The sequence below is a fragment of the Homo sapiens genome, chromosome 8, assembly GCF_000001405.40.
Source record: "Homo sapiens chromosome 8, GRCh38.p14 Primary Assembly".
NCBI lineage: Eukaryota > Metazoa > Chordata > Mammalia > Primates > Hominidae > Homo > Homo sapiens.
The window spans coordinates 47,795,906-47,815,086 of NC_000008.11; the positions used below are offsets into that span (position 1 = coordinate 47,795,906).

Here is a 19,181-nt window from a genome sequence, read left to right on the forward strand (position 1 = left end):
TTTTATGAGACAAGAGTCTCACTGTGTCGCCCAGGCTGGAGTGCAGTGGCGCCATCTCGGCTCACTGCAACCTCCGCCTCCTGGGTTCAAGTGATTCTCCTGCCTCAGCCTCCCGAGTAGCTGGGACTACAGGCATGTGCCATCATGCCCAGCTAATTTTTGTATTTTTAGTAGAGACAGGGTTCCACTGTGTTAGCCAGGATGGTCTCAATCTCCTGACCTCATGATCCGCCCACCTCGGCCTCCCAAAGTGCTGGGATTACAGGCATGAGCCACGGTAAAGAATTTTTCAAATTTTCATTTCTGAAAGTATTAGACTGACTACTTTCTAAAGTCTTTACCAACACTGCACATAATCATCTTTTAAAATCACTGTCGAGCCGAGATCACGCCACTGCACTCCAGCCTGGGTGACAGCGAGACTCCGTCACCAAAAAAATAAAAAATAAATAAATAAATAAAAATAAAATCACTGTCAATCTGAGAAGTGAAAAACACCTAATTTAAATTTTCAACTTACATTATTAGTGAGGCTGTATGTTCCATGTTTATTTGCCTTACATCCTTTAATCACGCATGCATTTCCTCCCACCATTTTCTACTGGTCTATTGTGACCATTTATTTTGTAGATTGCCGAAGTCAGCTTTTTGTTTCTTATATGTGTTGCAAACGTTTTTCTTCATTTTTTTTTTTGTTGTTGTTGTTTTTTTTGAGACAGAGTCTTGCTCTGTCGTCTAGGCTAGAGTGCAGTGGCGCCACCTCGGCTCACTGCAACCTCCACCTCCTGGGTTCAAGTGATTTTCCTGCCTCAGCCTCCCGAGTAGCTGGGTTTACAGGTGCTCGCCACCACGCCCGGCTAATTTTTGTTTCTTTAGTAGGGTTTCACCGTGTTGGCCAGGCTGGTCTCGAACTGCTGACCTCGTGATCTGCCCACCTTGGCCTCCCAAAGTGGTGAGATTACAGGCGTGAGCCACTGCACCTGGCTTTTTATTTTTTTAACTTTGTATACGGTATTTTCTTTTTCTGTATAGAAGTCAAACTATTTTCCTTCATGGATTCTGGTTTTTGTCTCTTCATTCCAAGACCATTTAAAAAAATGTGTTCACATTTTCCTCTGATACTTTTAAGGTGTCTTTCTGAAGATAAAACCTGATGTGTCTGCAATGCTAGAGTGAGGCTTGAGTATGGGCAAGCTTCCTGAGTGCACGTGTGAGCTGAGGACAGCATGGCGTGTGAGGAAGGATCAGTCCACACAGCTCATGTAAGCTCACGAGAGAGGCTACTGGCTTCACTGCACGTGTCTACTGGGTGTTTTGACAACGTGGAGTGAATACTTCATGTCCTCACAAATTCAAATGCTGTTTTTATCATGTATAAATATTATATTGGAAAAAAATAAAATCATAATGAAGTTATTTGCTCACTTATCTTGAAGAAAAACACATACATGTTGCACTTCTGAATTTACCTTAACCTGTTTAATACCTACTGAGAAAGTCTACTATTCAGAATGCAGAAAAAGGTGGAAGGAGTGGTTAGGGCCCTAAAAGTCAAACTGGGTCCCCGCAGCCCAGAGATCAACATTATTTAAAAACTCACCATGCAAAGCTAATAGAGAACGAACCATGTAACCCTTTTTGAACTATTACATTTTCAACTCAAAGCTTGGCCCTATCTTCCAGTTACACGTCTATAAATGTCAACTACGAAGCCTTTCAGAGGCCCTACACTTTGCAAATGAAGTCAGTGGAACCCTCCTGCACACAGACAGAGCCCAAAGGACAGGAGTGCAGCTGGCAGTGCAGCCCTTGGTGGGGCCAAGGGGCAGGTCACATGGAAGGGTGCGGGTTCCTCCCATGTCCATACGCTGACCCCTCACTCATGCTCCCAGACCCCTCTGGACACCGTGCTGCTGGCAGATGCTGTGCTCCTGGGAGGTGGGATGCAAGCTGAACCTTGCTCACTCCCTTTGGGCTAAATGACAGGTGAGCACTGGGCACAGCAAATGTGACTGGCCACAGCCTCATCTGCAGGGGCAACAAGTTTCCCACACAAGATCCCGTTACCATCCCACACACCCCGTCTCCATCTCTCTGGATCCTTGTTCAGACACAGTGTTTTTATCAACACCCACAGAGGAAAATGGGTAAATGCGAAAACTCGTTTTTGCAGCTTTAAATTACCTATGTCCTCAGAATGTAGCAGAATTCACAGCTGGCTGGGAAAAGCTATAATACATGCACTGCACACACTAACGCGTTTGAATATAAATAAGCGTATCTTTAAGTTCTGTAAAGTTCCTTACCGCCAAGTAGAATAAAGACACCAACCTCTTTTGTCATGAGGCTCAAAGTCTCCTCTGGATACCGTTCTATAATCTGAAGTAATCTAGGAAACTTCAATCTGGCTTCATTGGAATTTAATTTTAAAGCTTTCAACATTTTCTCCACCACAAGTGCTGGATACGCCTGCAGTTCTGCAGAATCAATAACTATCAAGGACACCAAAGAAGAAAGCAATGGTCAATGTATCCCAATATCCATAAACTATGATGTTAAATGCTAACACTTTCCCTTTTTGGCTTGTATTTTGTAGTGTCATTGTTCTCTTCTTAACTACCACTTTACACCAACAAACACCAGGTACAGTTTTGTATCTATCCTGGAGCCAAATCCTTCCATTAGAGTGCCCATTCTGCATGAAGCACAGTTTGAATCCTGGGCTGGGAACATAAGGGGCAACTGGTGGTTATTGAATTTATTCCAGGAGCATGAAGCAGGCCACACGAGCCAGTAATATTGAAGCTGCAAGCAAAATATCAAAGTAGAAATTAAACAAATGGAAACAGAGGACCACTTGACTCCATTTAAATGTAGGTCATGTTGCTTAGAGAGGCCATTGTCTCTCTCTTTTTTTTTTTTGAGATGGAGTCTCGCTCTGTCACCCAGGCTGGTGTGCAGTAGTGGATATCGGCTCACTGCAACCTCTGCCTCCTGGGTTCAAGCAATTCTCCTGCCCCAGCCTCCTGAGTAGCTGGGACTACAGGCATGGGCCACCACGCCCAGCTAATTTTTTTGTATTCTTAGTAGAGTTGGGGTTTCACCACGTTGGCCAGGCTGGTCTTGAACTCCTGGCCTCAAGTGATCCACTGCACCCGGCTGCCATTGTCTCTTAAAAAGACAGTAGGATTTTCAAAATATTTGTAATTTGAAAACAAACAAAGAGGAGACCAAAGGTATGTACAAAATTCATAAGACTTTATGCTGACATAATGGAACACTAGCTTTTTAATTTTCAATTCACCTGATGCATTCTCTTCCTCCTTGCGCAGCTGTTGGTCACAGAAATCTGCCAGCGTCATGTAAGCATCAATCACCCCAGCTGCAGGCCCACAGCTCCAGGAGGGAGGCTGGGCCTCCTCCTCAGCCGCCTGCACAGCCTCAGAGAGGTGCTGGAATGCTCTCTGGTACAGACCCGCGATCACCTGGAATTCACAGAGACCTAAACCCATGAGCATGACTGAAGCTTTCTCAAAGAACTCTGCTTTCCATTTGTGACTCATGACACATAAATGGATCAACAGCTCCAAAATAACACTGAAGCTATGGAACTGGAAAAACAAGAGTCCACCCTGGCTGTGAAGGAGCAAGCAATTCCAGCAAGATCCTCAGCAGGTAACAACTGGCCAAACAAAAATGCAAGCCCAGCGCGGGCCAGATGGTGCACAAGCAACACAGAGCTGGGTCTGGTCAGTGGAGTGCGTGGCTGTCGGGAATATAAGAGGGAGATGGAAGTCGGCTCCTGCACTCAGTGTCCTGCACAGATGCTAGTAGCATCATGGAAGGAGAAGACAAGGCCCCACAACTGAGGTGAGGCAGGACATAGTGAATGAGACGGAAGCAGGTAACTATTGAAAAAAACAAAATAATCGGCAAGAAGCTAAGCAAAGCAGGCACTAAATAAAAATGCAGAAAAGGCTGATTTGTTCCATAAGCTGGTGGGACGTCTGAATGGTGATGGGTGGGGAAATTTAATTAACAAAAGTCATAAAAGAACGGTCTACAGTTCTTTTAATTCAAAAAAATTTAAAATTCATGATTTTTAATATTAAAAAATTTGTGTCATTCAAATAAATAGGAAGCACGGAGTATGTCAATTTTCCACATAAGAAAATTGGCTGTGCGTGCCATCCCATTACTGGGTATATACCCAAAGGACTATAAATCATGCTGCTATAAAGACACATGCACACGTATGTTTATTGCGGCACTATTCACAATAGCAAAGACTTGGAACCAACCCAAATGTCCAACAATGATAGACTGGATTAAGAAAATGTGGCACATATACACCATGGAATACTATGCAGCCATAAAAAATGATGAGTTCATGTCCTTTGTAGGGACATGGATGAAATTGGAAATCATCATTCTCAGTAAACTATCGCAAGGACAAAAAATCAAACACCACATGTTCTCACTCATAGGTGGGAACTGAACAATGAGAACACATGGACACAGGAAGGGGAACATCATACTCTGGGGACTGTTGTGGGGTGGGGGGAAGGGGGAGGGATAGCATTAGGAGATATACCTAATGCTAAATGATGAGTTAATGGGTGCAGCACACCAGCATGGCACATGTATACATATGTAACTAACCTGCACATTGTGCACATGTACCCTAAAACTTAAAGTATAATAATAATTTAGAAAATAAATAAATAAAAACAAATACATAAATAAAAAGAAAATTGGCTGTGCATAACTGTCAAATATATTTTAAAAACACAAAGCAACATCCTTATTATTACTTTCCTGTAGCCTGAACACTGCACATTGAAGACATACACAGCACACTAGCGTAAAACATTCCTCCAGTATTACCTTCTCTGAATCCTCTGAACTGGATCCAGAAAGCTCTAAGATTCTTCTAGCCTTGTCCTCCTCGATTTCAGCAAGGCAGGCTGGCTCACTGCTGAGAGCATTCGCTATGATCCTGTAAGTTGTACCCAAGAGAATGTTCTGGTCACGGAAAGCCAGAATATTTTTGCTTAAGTAGCTTGACACGTTGTTCTCATCTGTTGGATTAAAAAAACAAAACAAAACAAAATTTTGTATGTGTGTGTGGAATTAAAAAGAAGAAATTCATTGTCTATAGAAGTTTTCTTTTCTTTTGTTTTTGGGATAGGGTCTCGCTCTGTTACCCAGGCTGGAGTGCAACGACACGATTTTGGCTCACTGCAACCCCTGCCTACCAGGCTCAAGCGATCCTCCCACCTCAACCTCCCAATTAGCTGGGACTACAGGCTTGCACCACCATGCCCGGCTATTTTTTGTATTTTTGGTAGAGATGGGGTTTCGCCATGTTGCCCACGCTGGTCTCGAACTCCTGAGCTCTAGCAATCTGCCCACCTTGGCCTCCCAAAGCACTGAGATTACAAGTGTGAGCCAACATGCTTGGCCTAAAAGTTGTTTTCTATTAAGAAATTAATAAAAATAAATGTTGAAAGTATAAGAAACTGACTTCAAATACTGACTAGGGAATTTCTTGAACTCACATATTAATGAAAAATGTTCTTTGTTAGAAGTAACTGTATCAAAGCCCACAGAGGCTAAGCAATTGAAACTTTATGAATTAACTTTTTATTCAAGCATCATCATTCTGCAATTTTTCAAAGCACCTAATTCTGTTATAAAAAATAGGAAATGGGTACTAATGTGTTTGTACATATATTAATAATCCAGAGTAGATCTTTAAATTGGCACTGTGGCCCATAGCTAATGAAGCAACAGGCACTGCTACATTTAAAGTTCTAGTTCTGCTTTGACTGTGTGGTTCTGGGCAAGTAACTGAACCAGCGCTGGCTAAGTCTGCAGTGTCCAGAGGTGCGATAACAGTGTTGAAACTAGGAGGCCTGATCAACCACATGCCCTCCTTGCCCATGATGTGACAGTTCTCTGCCAAAGTTATCTCACATACAGGATCACAACTACTGGCCCTGCTTATCATGCAAGGCTGTTATGAACTACAACCATACTCTGTGTAATTATTATTATATGGGTATATGGATACTAATATTAACATCAGCAAACTCCTCCTCTTCCCCTCAAAAAAGCCCATATAATTATTTAGCAATCATAAGGATAATTTTCTTCTTCTTCTTCTTTTTTTAGAAACAGGGTCTCACTACACTGCCCAGGCCAGAATACAGTGGCTACTCACACAGGCACAATCATGGCTCACTGCAGCCTCGAACTCCTGATCTCAAGCCATCCTCCCGCCTCAGACTCCCCAGTAGCTGGGACTATGGGTGCGTGCCACCACATCCAACTAGGATGATCTTCTGCTCTTGGGATCAGTGTACAAAGAGTGCTTCTCCTCTAGACACCTTTATTGAGGCTGATGCTTAAGAGCTGGTCTGGGAACCAGCTGGATCATGCCTGATCAGAATGCTAGCACACACCCTCAGACACAGGGCAACAGAGCGGGGGACCAAACCCAAACCTGTACAAGAAAGCTTTCTTCCTTTAATGTAGTCTTAAAGACTAAACTATTTTGGGAGGAAATGGCTTTTTTTTTTTTTTTTTTGAGAGACGGAGTTTTGCTGTTGTCATCCAGGCTGGAGTGCAGTGGCGCGATTTTGGCTCGCTGCAACCTCCGCCTCCCAGGTTCATTCTCCTGCCTCAGCCTCCAGAGCAGCTTCGAAGACAGGCGCCTGCCACCACGCCCGGCTAGTTTTTGTAATTTTTTTTTTTCTTTTTGAGATGGAGTCTTTCTCTGTCGTCCAGGGTGGAGTGCAGTGGCGTGATCTCAGTTCACTGCAAGCTCTACCTCCCGGGTTCACACCATTCTCCTGCCTCAGCCTCCCGAGTAGCTGGGACTACAGGCGCCCACCACCATGCCTGGTTAATTTTTTTGTATTTTCAGTGGAGACGGGGTTTCACTGTGTTAGCCAGGATGGTCTCGATCTCCTGACCTCATGATCTGCCTGCCTCAGCCTCCCAAAGTGCTGGGATTACAGGCGTGAGCCACCATGCCCAGCCTAGTTTTTGTATTTTTAGTAGAGATGGGGTTTCATCACGTTGGCCAGGATGTTCTCGATCTCCTGACCTCGTGATCCACCCACCTCGGTCGCCCAAATTGCTCGGATTACAGGCGTGAGCCACTGCGCCCAGGCTGAAATGGCTTTTCATGTTTGTTTACATCTTATATGCAAACACAAAGTTTTCAAAATAATTAAACTATCATTCTCTGGCTCACTTTGCTATATTCCCTGAAATTACTGCAAAGATTTACCTCCCAAATGTCAGATGATGCAGCACAAAGAAGAGGAAGATACACAAGACAATATAACACAGCCCTTTAAGATATAAGTGGATAAAAGCGGTCAACTTACCCAACAAAGAGACTGTTTTCAGCACAGTGAGCACCTGCTCAGAGCAGCCCTGGGACCGGCTCCGGCAGTGGCTCAGGCGGCAGTAGCTCTGCACCCAGCTCACCAGCCAATCGTCTCTGGTTTTTGACTCTTTATGCAGCTCCTTCAGTAGTTTCATAGCAAGTGAGAAATTGTTCTGTATGAATACAATAAAAAGAGAGAAGGTGGTATGATGATACACAAGTGACAGAAGTTTCTAATTGGCCTGCTTCCCCCTTTGCACGACACAATCCACCTTAGAGTAGCGAATCCATTTCTTTAGCTTCAATTATGTCTCTAAATTTATCACTGGGATATAATTCATATTTAAAGAGTACAATTCAGGCCAGGTTTAGTGGCTCAGGCCTGTAATCCCAGCATTTTGGAAGGCCAAAGAGGGAGGATTACCTGAGTCTAGGAATTTGAAACCAGACTAGGCAACATGGTAAGACCCCGTCTCTAAAAAATTTAAAAAATTAGCCAGCACCATGGCACGTGCCTATAGTCCCAGCTACTCTGGACACTAAGGTAGTAGGATCACTTGAACCTGGGAGGTTGAGGCTGCAGTGAGCTGCTGTGTACTCCAGCCTGGGCAACAGAGCAAGTCTCCAAAAAAAAAAAAAAATTCCAGGGGGTGTGGCAGGGTGGGTACAATTCAGTATTTTTTAGTATATTTACAAAGCTGTACAACCACCACCCCTAATTCCAGAACATTTTCACTACCCCAAAAAGAAATTCACTGTCTGTTCAGAGTCACTACCCAGCCATTGGCAACAATAAATTCCCTTCCTGTCTCTATGGATTTGCCTACACCAGACATTCTGTAACAATGGTATCAGAAAATAAGTGGTGATTTTGTGTCTCGCATCTTTTACTTAGCATGATGTTTTCTAGGTTCATGCATGTTGCAGCACCTGTCAGCACTTCTTTCCTCCTTATGGCTGAATAATACTCCATTGCACGGACATGCCACTTTTTTTTTTTTTTTTTTTTGAGATGGAGTTTCACTCTTATTGCCCAGGCTGGAGTGCAATGGCACAATCTCGGCTCACTGCAACCTGTGCCTCCTGGGTTCAAACAATTCTCCTGCCTCAGTCTCCCAAGTACCTGGGATTACAAGTGTGTGCTACCACATCTGGCTAATTTTTGTATTTTTAGTAGAGATGGAGTTTCGCCATGTTGGCCAGACTGATCTCAAACTCCTGACGTCAAGTGATCCACCCGCCTTGGCCTCTCAAAGTGCTGGAATTACAGGCCTGAGCCACTGCACCCGGCTGGACATGCCACATCTTATTTGGGTTGTTTCCACCTTTCCAGCTATTTTGAATAATGCTCCTGTGAACATTTGTGTATGAATTTCCATGTGAGCTTAAGCTTTTGTTTCTCATGGGTCTGGGAGTGGAATTGTCGGGTCATATGGTACCTCTGTTCAACTGTTTTGTTTTGTTTTGTTTTTGAGGCAAAGTTTTGCTCTTGTCACCAGGCTGGAGCACAGTGGCACAATCTTGGCTCTCTGCAACCTCCACCTCCCAGGTTCAAGCGATTCTCCTGCCTCAGCCTCCCGAGTAGCTGGGATTACAGGCATGTGCCACCACATCCGGCTAATTTTTGTATTTTTAGTAGAGACGGGGTTTCACCGTGTTGGTCAGGCTGGTCTCGAACCCCTGACCTCAGGTGATCCACCTGTCTCGGCCTCCCAAAGTGCTGGGATTACAAGCGTGAGCCATCGCGCCCGGCCTCAACATTTTTTTTTTTTTAAGTATAGTCAAGTGAAGCATCAGAAGTGGAGAATCAACAAAGAAATCTTAAATGTTTGTGATCAATTAGTTGCAAAAACCACTGCACTTGGACTAGCCTCTACGTTTAACTTTTTGAGGAAATGCCAGACTGTTTTCCACAGCAGATGCACCATTTTACATTCCCACCAGCAGTGCAGAAGGGTTCCAGTTTCCCCCATCTTCTCCAAGCTTTGTTATCTGTGTATTTGCTTCCAGCCATCCCAGTGGGTGTGAAGCGGTCTCTCCTTGTGGATTTGATTTGCATTTCCCTCAAGCCTAGGGATACTGAGCATCTTTGCATGAGCTGGTTGGCCATTTGCCTATCTTCTTTGGATAAATGTCTATTCAAACACTTCATGCCCATTTCTTAATTGGGTTGTTTGACTCTTTGTTGTTCAGTTGTGAAGCATTCTTTATGAATTCTGGATACTAGACCCTTATCAGATATGTGATCAGGAAATAGTTTCTCCCATTACATGAGTTGTCTTTATACATTCTTCAGCTTCTCAGGTAAGGCACGACAGTTTTAATTCTGAATACAATTGACCCATTTTTTATTTAGTTGCTTATATGGATGTCTTTTTAAATCTACACCTCTAATTCTCTCTCAAGCTTCAAAAGACATTTTCATCAGACTTTGGTCTTCCTAATTACTGCCATTTCAACCGCCCAGGCTAGAAATCCGAGTTGTTTCTAGCCAGACACTCTCATCACTCCTGTCACCTCAGGTTCTCCTGGATCTCCTTACAGAGCACCTCTCTTGCCCTGCTCACTCCCACCCCACTCCCCTAGTGTGGAGCTTCCTGGTCTTTCTCTGCCTTTGCTTTCCCCAGAGCTGTCAATCTCCCACACAGCTTACAACTAGCCAGCATGCATGGAACCTTCAATGGCCTCCTGATCCCGGTAAGGATGCAGTCTCCCGCCCTCTGCAAACCCAGTGCCATCCCATGTCCAAATCCTTCCATGCCCATAAAGCCTACCCTAAATCACATCCCCCTTCCCCAGACACCTCCCTGTCCAAGGCAGAAGCTCTTCTCTTCCCTGCGCCCTCCAGGCTTTGCTGACATCTCTCTTCTTTGCCCACCAGTGCTGTTGTCATCATGTGTGCAGCCCCCACTCTTACTAGACAGTAACAATGGCAGGGAACATGTCTTTCCCCTCATCATGCCAGACAGTTTCCTAACTACACTGGGTCCTCTCCCCATGACCCCAACTCCCTCACCACTAAGTCCTTCAGTTCAGATCGCCCCTTCTGGCCACACCCTGCTTTTCTCTCATCCAGTTCCTGCTCTGCCTGCCTCTAATTGGATTTTCTGTTATTTGCAATATAAAAATTCTTACTTGATATTACACTCATCCAAAGAAAAATCTATAAATGAGCATTTAAAGCTACAAAAAAGAAGTATTATTTCTACTAGAATATCATCCTTTGCCTTGCAATAGCAATTGATAGAGGGTCATTAACATAGCAAGCTTCTGTAGTATGTTTAAAGATTATATACATTTAAATAGATTACATGCAATTTTTAAGCAATGTATACTTAATATCAAGAAGGGGTCCTAGTATTAAATGATAATTCCTACAAAGTAAACCTAAAAATAATTTGTAACTAACTGGTAAGGATTCATTTTGTTAACGATCAAACTTGACATTAGGTTTATCTGCTTTTCAAGTAACAGCTAACAATCATTTTGAAATGATTAACAGGAATATAATAAACTCTAGAGGCTTTCTGGAGAGTTTTGAATAAGTGCTCCTTCAAGTTTCCTTTTTCTCTGAGACAGGCTCTCATTCTGTTGCCCAAGCTGGTCTCTAATTTCTGGGCTCAAGTGATCCGCCTGCCTTGGCCTCTCAAAATGCTGAGATTACAGGTGTGAGCCACTGCACCCGGCCAAGTTTACTTATAAAGAGAGAAAAAAAATAACACCTACCAATTATTTTAAGGTTCAGACTCTAAAGAAAAGCTAAAATTAGAGAAAAGCTAATTTAGCAAAATCCTGTGACACAGCAGGGAGGACAGACACGAGTACCCACCTGCTTCCGGGCACTGTCTATCATCTTCATTTTCATGGAAAACTTGCAACTCCTGATCAGGGAGCTGATATCTTCTTCCTGCTCTTGCACTTCCATCCTGTCACTGGGGTCTCCATCTTGATCCACATTCATACTATTATCTTCTGGAAGAGGGGTAAGCTTCTCCTCTATTTTGCTGAGAAAGAAACATCTACACAAAGAAAAATGAGACAATGTCACAGACTCAGGAATAGGAAGCTGCTGGATAGCAATTACAGGCAGAAATTCTAAACCTTAGTAAATGTTTGTTCTTTTTTTTTTGAGATGGAGTCTCACTCTGTTGCCCAGGCTGGAGTGCAGTGGCACCATCTAGGCTCACGGCATGCTCTGCCTCCCGGGTTCACGTCATTCTCCTGCCTCAGCCTCCTGAGTAGCTGGGACTACAGGCGCCTGCCACTACACCCGGCTAATTTTTTGTATTTTTAGTAGAGACGGGGTTTCACTGTGTTAGCCAGGATGGTCTCGATCTCCTGATCTCGTTATCTGGCCACCTTGGCCTCCCAAAGTGCTAGGATTACAGGCGTGAGCCACCGCACCCGGCCTACTTATTTTTTTTTTGAGATGGAGTCTCATTCTGTCGCCCAGGATGGAGTGCAGTGGCACGATCTCGACTTACTGCAACCTCCACCTTCTGGGTTCAAGCGATTCTCCTGCCTCAGCCTCCTGAGTAGCTGGGACTACAGGCGTGCACTACCACACCCAGATAATTTTTGTATTTTTAGTAGAGACGGGGTTTCACCATGTTGGCCAGGCTGGTCTTGAACTCCTGACCCTCAGGTGATCCTTGGGTCACCTGCCTTGGGCTCCCAAAGTGCTGGGATTACAGGAGTGAGCTATCATGTCTGGCCTAAATTTTATCTTTTGATGAATGGGTAACATACCCTGTGTTGAGCCATTTTGCTCCTTATATGTCCCAACTTAAGGTGATAAATACATAACAGTAAACAGTTTAAAATCACTGAAAATTTTCTTTTTTATTTTTTTGAGACAGGGTCTTGCTCTGTTGCCCATGTTGGAGTGTAGTGGTGCAATCACAGCTCACTGCAGCCTCGACCTCCTAAGCTCACACAATCCTCTTCCCTCAGCCTCCCAAATAGCCGGGGTTGGTTACAGGTGCGTGCTACCGCATCAAGCTAAGTTTTACACTTTTTTGTAGAAACGGAGGCTTGCTATGTTGCCAGGCTGGTCTCGAGCTCCTGGGCTCAAGGAATCCTTCTAAAGGCTGGGATTACAGATATGAGCCACCATGCCCAGCCATGAAAATTTAAAAGAGAAGTCTAGGTTGCTATTAAATTATTATTATTTTAGAGACAGGCCTCACTATATTGCCCAGCCTGTAGTGCAGTAGTTATTCACAGATGTAATCATAGCACACTACAGCCTTGAATTCCTGGGCTCAAGCAATCCTCCTGCCTCAGCCTCCCAAGAAGCTGAAACAATAGGCGTGTGCCACCATGCCCAACTTCAAAATTCTTTTTATTTGAATCATAATTTACATGTATGATTCTGTCCAAGTAATTTTATTTCTATTAATATTAGTAACACTGACAAAGGGCCCTAATATACAAAGCTCATCCCTGATCAACCATCAAGTAAATTTCTGTTGTTTTTCCAGGAACTCATTTCCAATTTCTTAGAAACAGTATGGCCAGGGAGTTCGAGAACACCCTGGGCAACATAGTGATACCTCATCTCGACAAAAAATGTAAAAATTAGCTGGGCATGGTGGCGTGAGCCTGTATTCCCAGCTACTCAGGAAGATCGCCTGAGCTCAGGAATTTGAGGCTGCAGTGAGCTATGACTGCACCACTGCACTCCAGCCTGGGTGGCACAGCAAGACCCTGTGCGTGGAAGGAAAGAAAGAAAGGAAAGAAGAAAAGGAAAGGAAAAAGAGGAAAAAAGGAGAGGAAAGGAGAGGGGAGGGGAGTGCAGGGGAGTAGAGGGGAAGGGAGGGTATGGGAGGGAGGGGGAGGGGAGGGGAGAAGGAAACACTGCAGGAAGATAAACCATCATGCTTCACATCTCTTTTTCCTTTTTCCTCTTTTTTTGTTACTCCCAAGATACAACCCTTGCTGGCCATTTCCTGTTCTCACCACACTGCTCTGGGCTCCTCATCCCCACACCAACCACAGTGCTGGCTCATTCCCTAAAGCTACCACTGATTTTAAGCTTTCACTGTTTTTAATCATAAAAATAAATACAAGTGGGTACTGGATTAACATTTCAATAAATAATGAATGACTGGATCCATAAATGTCTCCTACCAGTGTGAATAAAGTGCCTGGGATCTCAGGAAAGGGAGGTGGGAACGTCCACAGAATGAGACAGACTTCCTTGGGCTGTGAAGGGTGCATGCAATTTTAGGAGTGGAGTTGACAAGGGAGTCCCAGACAGAGGGAACAAATTAAACAAAGGCAGAGAAGAGTTACACTGCGTGACATGTTCTCACATCAAATCAGGGAGAATAAACCAAGAAGAGAACCATCTTTTCTAAAAACAAGAGTCTGGATCCGGTATGGCACTGTGAGCCCCTTGTGGCCTATCCTCTGCTGACAACAACTAGAAACTGGATAAAATACAACTCCCCAAGAACTCTGAGTGAATAAAAGATGGCAGACTGTATGTATGCGCAGGGAAATCAAAACTGGGAAGGTCTGCTATTGGGATGAGCTTCCTGTTTCCTCTCTGTCTTACTCTCTTTTGCCCCTGTGGAGTGTGGTGGCAATGTGACTGAGATCCTTAAGACAAGCCTGCTGCATTCTACCCAGGGGAACAGGAAAAGGAGTCCAGGCAGACAGGGGCTACAGGGAGAATCCTGGAGGGGAGAGAACCAGAGAAAAATCCTCTAGTTCTGCACATGAACCCACCAGGCTCAGGCTGCCCTGAAGTGTGCATGTGCAGACAGACTCAAAACAGCACAGGTTTGGACAGGAACTGAGGTTTCAACCAACAAAAGGAAAGACAGAGCCTACTATCTAAACAGATCACCAGCTACAGAATTATAAGCCAGCATCTACACAAGAGAATCCAGTAGTCCCCCTTATCTTACCTGCAGTTTTGCTTTCCCTGGCTTCAGTTACTGGAGATATAGTGCAATAAGATATTTTGAGAGAGACAGACCACACTCACATAACGTTTATTATAGTATACTGTTTGAATTATTCTACTTTATTATTGTTATTGCTGTTACTCTTACTGCCTAAGAGTACAAATTTACAAATTAAGCTTTATCATATGTGTGTATGTATAGGTAAAAACAGTATACATAAGGTTTGGTATTATCCATGGTTTCAGGATTCCACTGGGGATCTTTGAACTCCTACAGATAAGAAGCGACTACTATATTCACAAGTTACATTCAAAAATTAACTGATAAAAAGAATCAGGAGAATGTATCCATCTCAACAGAAAACAGATGCCAACTCTATGCTGACCCATATGCTGGAATGATCATACAAGGACCTTAAAGCAGCTATGTTAACTATGCTCCAGGAGGTCAAGAAAAACACACATGCAATAAATGAAAAGGTGCGCATCTCAGTAGAAAAAGAGAAAATATTTTTTAATAAACCAAATGGAAAGTTTACAACTGGAAAATACAATACCTAAGATAAAACAGTCACTAGACAGACTTACTAGAAGAACAAGTAAGACAAAAGAAAATAACAGTAAGATTGAAGACAAATCAATAGAAATGATCTAATCTGATGAATAAACAACAAAAAAAGACAATAAAAATGAACAGAGTCAGGGACCTATGGAACAATGTCAAAAGGCACGATGTATGTGTAACTGCATTCCCACAAAGAGACCAAGAGAAATTTGGACAAAAAGCATTTGAAGAAACACAATGACTGAAAACTCCCCAAATCTGGTGACAAAAAGGTACAGATTCAAGAAGGTAAGTGAACTTCAGATGGGATAAATTCAAAGAGAACCAGGCCTAGACACATCATAATCAAACTGCTGATAACCAATGATAAAGAAAAAAAATCTTGAATGCAGCCAGAAAAATATGACACATTACATGTGGGCCACAACGATGGGAATAACGAGGACATTATCTTCAGAGACACAGCAGCCAAAAGATACTACAAGGGGCAGGGAGAATCTACCCAGATTATACATTCTGAGAAAGTGTCCTTCAGGAATGACAGAGAAATAAAGATATCTTCAGAGAAGGAAAAAACTAACAAGAGTTCATCACAAGTAGACCTGCATTACAAGAACTGCTAAACGAAGATTTTTAGGCTAAAGGAAAATGACACAAGAGAAAAACTTGGGTCTTAGGAATAAATGATGAGTACAGTGTGGTAAGTATAATAAAGAACACATACTTATGTTCTAAAGAATATGTGAGGAAAACCACATATGTTCTTTAGAATATGTATGACTGTTGAAAGTACAGTGTTATCTAGTGGTGTTTTCATTATATGTTACTTCACAGATAAACACACATGAAATCCATCCACACACACATCAACATATCATTACTTCATAATGATAAAAGGAGTATTTTGGCAGGGCATGGTGGTTCACGCCTGTAATCCCAGCACTTTGGAAGGCTGAGGTGGGTGGATCACCTAAGGTCAGGAGTTCGAGACCAGCCTGACCAACATGGCGAAACCCTGTCTCTACTAAAAAATACAAAATTAGCTGGGCGTGGTGGCACATGCCTGTAAACCCGGCTACTCGGGAGGCTGAGGCAGGAGAATGGCTTGAACCTGGGTGATGCAGGTTGCAGTGAGCCAAGATCATGCCACTGCACTCCAGCCTGGGCAACTAGAGCAAAATTCCATCACAAAAAAAAAGTATTTCCACCGTGGCATGTGTATACCTATGTAACAAACCTGCACATTCTGCACATGTATCCCAGAACTTAATGTATAATAAAAATAATTTCATTAGGAAGACAGCAGTTATCCATATGTATGTACCTAATAACAGAATCAAAATACAGTACGTAAAAATACACAGAAGTAAAGGCAGAAACAGACAATTCTACAATCATAGGAGATTTTGACATCCTTTTCTCAGCAGTGATGGAACTACACAAACAAGCAGTAAAGACATGGAAGATCTGAAAAGTATCCCTGACTACCTTGATCTCATTGAAATTTATAAAACCTGATACCCAGGAACTGCAGAATATACAAAAATTTTCAAGTTTACATAGGTATTTACTAAAATAGACCATATGTTGGCACATAAAAGAAGTCTCAATAAAATTTAAAAGGATCAAAATCATACAGAGGGTGTTTTCTGACCACAGTGGAATTTAGAAATCACTAAGATAGCCAGAAAACCCAGGTATTTGGAAATTAAAACACTTAAATATTTAATGGATCAAGTCACATGAGAGTTAGAAAAATACGTTGAACTGAATGACATACCAAAATGTGCAGAATGCAGCTAAAGCAGTACTTTACAGGGACACAAATAACTTTAAATGCTTATATTAGGAGGAAGAAAAGGTATAAAATCAACAGTTTCCACCTAAAGAAACTAGAAAAAGAAAAGCAAATATAAGGTAAGAGGAAAAGAAAAAAATAGTAAAGACGATACTAGAAATCAATTAAATAGAAAACAGACAAATAATAAAGAAAATTAACAAAGTAAAAAACTGATCCTTTGAAAAAGCAAAACTGACACAAACCTTTACCCAGATGAATCAAGTGTTAAAAAAGAGAACACAAATAACCAATATCTGGAATGAAAAAGGGGGTTCCCTCCACAGACACTACAAATAATAAAAAGGATGAGAATAATGTGAACATTATACCAATAATTTGATGACTTTGATGAAATGGACAAATTTACTTTAAAAAACAAATAAAGAAGGCAGAAATTTAAAAAGAAAATGGACAAAGTGATTGAAAAATACAATTTAACAAAAATGACACAAAAATAGAATTTTATATTTATTTATTTATTTATTTATTTATTTATTTATTTATTTTGAGACAGAATCTTGCTCTGTCTCCCAGGCTGGAATGCAATGGCACGATCTCTGCTCACTGCAACCTCCACCTCCTGGGTTCAAGTGATTCTCCTACCTCAGCCTCCTGAGTAGCTGGGACTACAGGTGCCCACCACCACATTCAGCTAATTTTTGTATTTTTAGTAGAGGCAGGGCTTCACCATATTGGCCAGGCTGGTCTCCAACTCCTGACCTCAAATGATCCACCCACCTCGGCCTCCTAAAGTGCTGGGATTACAGGTGTAAGCCACCATGCCCAGCCAGAAATAGAAAGTTTAAATTCTCTATCAGTATTGACTAAGGAAATTATATACATTATCAAAAATCTTCCCCAAGGGAAAACCCATGCCCAAATAGGATAGGTTTCACTGGTAAATCCTATCAAATATTCAAGTATGAAATAATGAGGATCTTATATAATTTTTTTTTTTCCTTTGGAGACGGAGTTTTGCTCTTGTTGCCCAGGCTGGAGTGCAATGGTACGATCTTGCCTCACCGCAACCTCTGCCTCCCGGGTTCAAGCGATTCTCCTGCCTCAGCCTCCGAGTAGCTAGGATTACAGGCATGTGCCACCATGCTCGGCTAATTTTATATTTTTAGTAGAGACAGGTTTTGTCCATGTTTGTCAGGCTGGTCTTGAACTCCTGACCTCAGGTGATCCGCCCACCTTGGCCTCCCAAAGTGCTGGAATTAGAGGCATAAGCCACCACGCCTGGCCATAAACTTTTTTTAAAATAGAGAAGGGAACATGCCTTACTCATCTTATGAGGCCATGATAACCCTAATACCAAAACCTGATGAAGATATTACAAAAAAGAAAATTACACACCAATATCCCACTTGGATGTAGATGCTAAAATCCTTAAGGGATCATCATGACCGTATTGGGTTTACCCTAAGAATGCAAGATTGGCTTCATATTTAAAAAGCATCAAAGCTAATACTTCATAAACACAATAAAGGAGAAAAACAATATGATTAAGCTGTTGCAGAAAAAGTGTTTGATAAAATTCGACATTCATTCATGATAAAACAAAACTCTCAGAAAACCTGGAATAGAAGGGAATTTCCTCAATCTGATAAAAGGCATTTACAAAAAAATTATTTTTTAAAGCTGAGTGAGTGAACTATCTTCTCTAACATCAGGAATAAAACTAAGATGCTCATTTTAGCACGTATATTCAAGATTGTACTTGAGGTCCTCATGGTTTTAACAAAGCAGGAAAATGAAATAAATGGCATAAAGTTCAGAAAGAAAGAAAGGTGGCTCTATCGGCAGATGATATGATAGAAAATCCCAGAGAACCTGCAAAACAAGAACTAAAACTACCATGTTAGCAAAGATACAAAGTTAATATATAAAAAGCAATTACATTAGCAGCAAATAATTGGAAAATAATACAATTTTAAAAATAAATCCATCTATAACAGTGCCAAAAAACATAAAATACTTAGGAATAAATCACAAAAGACATCCAAGATCTCCATACTGAAAAAATACAAATCACTGAAATTAAAGATATCTAAATTAACAGAGATATGCCATATTAATGAACTCGATAACTCTATATTGTTAAGATAGCAACTCCCCAAATTAAACTATAGTCAATACAGTCCCAATCAAAATCTCAGCAGTTTTTCTTTATACAAATTGACAAGCAGATTCTAAAATGTAAATAGAAATGCAGATCAACTAAAATAAAGTAGTTTTCATAAAGAAAGTTGAGCCAGGTGCCATGGTTCATGCCTGTAATCCCAGCACACTGGGAGGCTGAGGTGGGCGTGTTGCTTGAGCCCAGGAGTTACATACCATCCTGGGCAACATAGTGAAACCCTGTCTCCACAAAAAAAGACAAAAAAATTAGCCAGGCATGGTGGCGCACGCCTGTGGTCCCAGCTACTTGAGAGGCTGAAGTGGGAGGACTGCTTAA

At 42.1% G+C, this 19,181-nt stretch overlaps 1 protein-coding gene across 2 annotated transcripts in view; it reads right to left on the reverse strand.

The window, feature by feature from the left end:
* The window catches only part of PRKDC (protein kinase, DNA-activated, catalytic subunit), a 187,026-nt gene that overhangs the window by 22,795 nt on the left and 145,050 nt on the right, over positions 1-19,181 (reverse strand). For both annotated transcript variants that reach the window (NM_001081640.2, NM_006904.7), the window contains exons 69-73: positions 11,232-11,421; positions 7,401-7,575; positions 4,888-5,081; positions 3,305-3,485; positions 2,332-2,492 (exon numbers count right to left, since the gene is read on the reverse strand). In NM_001081640.2, coding sequence (NP_001075109.1) covers positions 2,332-2,492; positions 3,305-3,485; positions 4,888-5,081; positions 7,401-7,575; positions 11,232-11,421 — 901 coding nt within the window. The remainder of the gene's footprint in view (positions 1-2,331; positions 2,493-3,304; positions 3,486-4,887; positions 5,082-7,400; positions 7,576-11,231; positions 11,422-19,181) is intronic.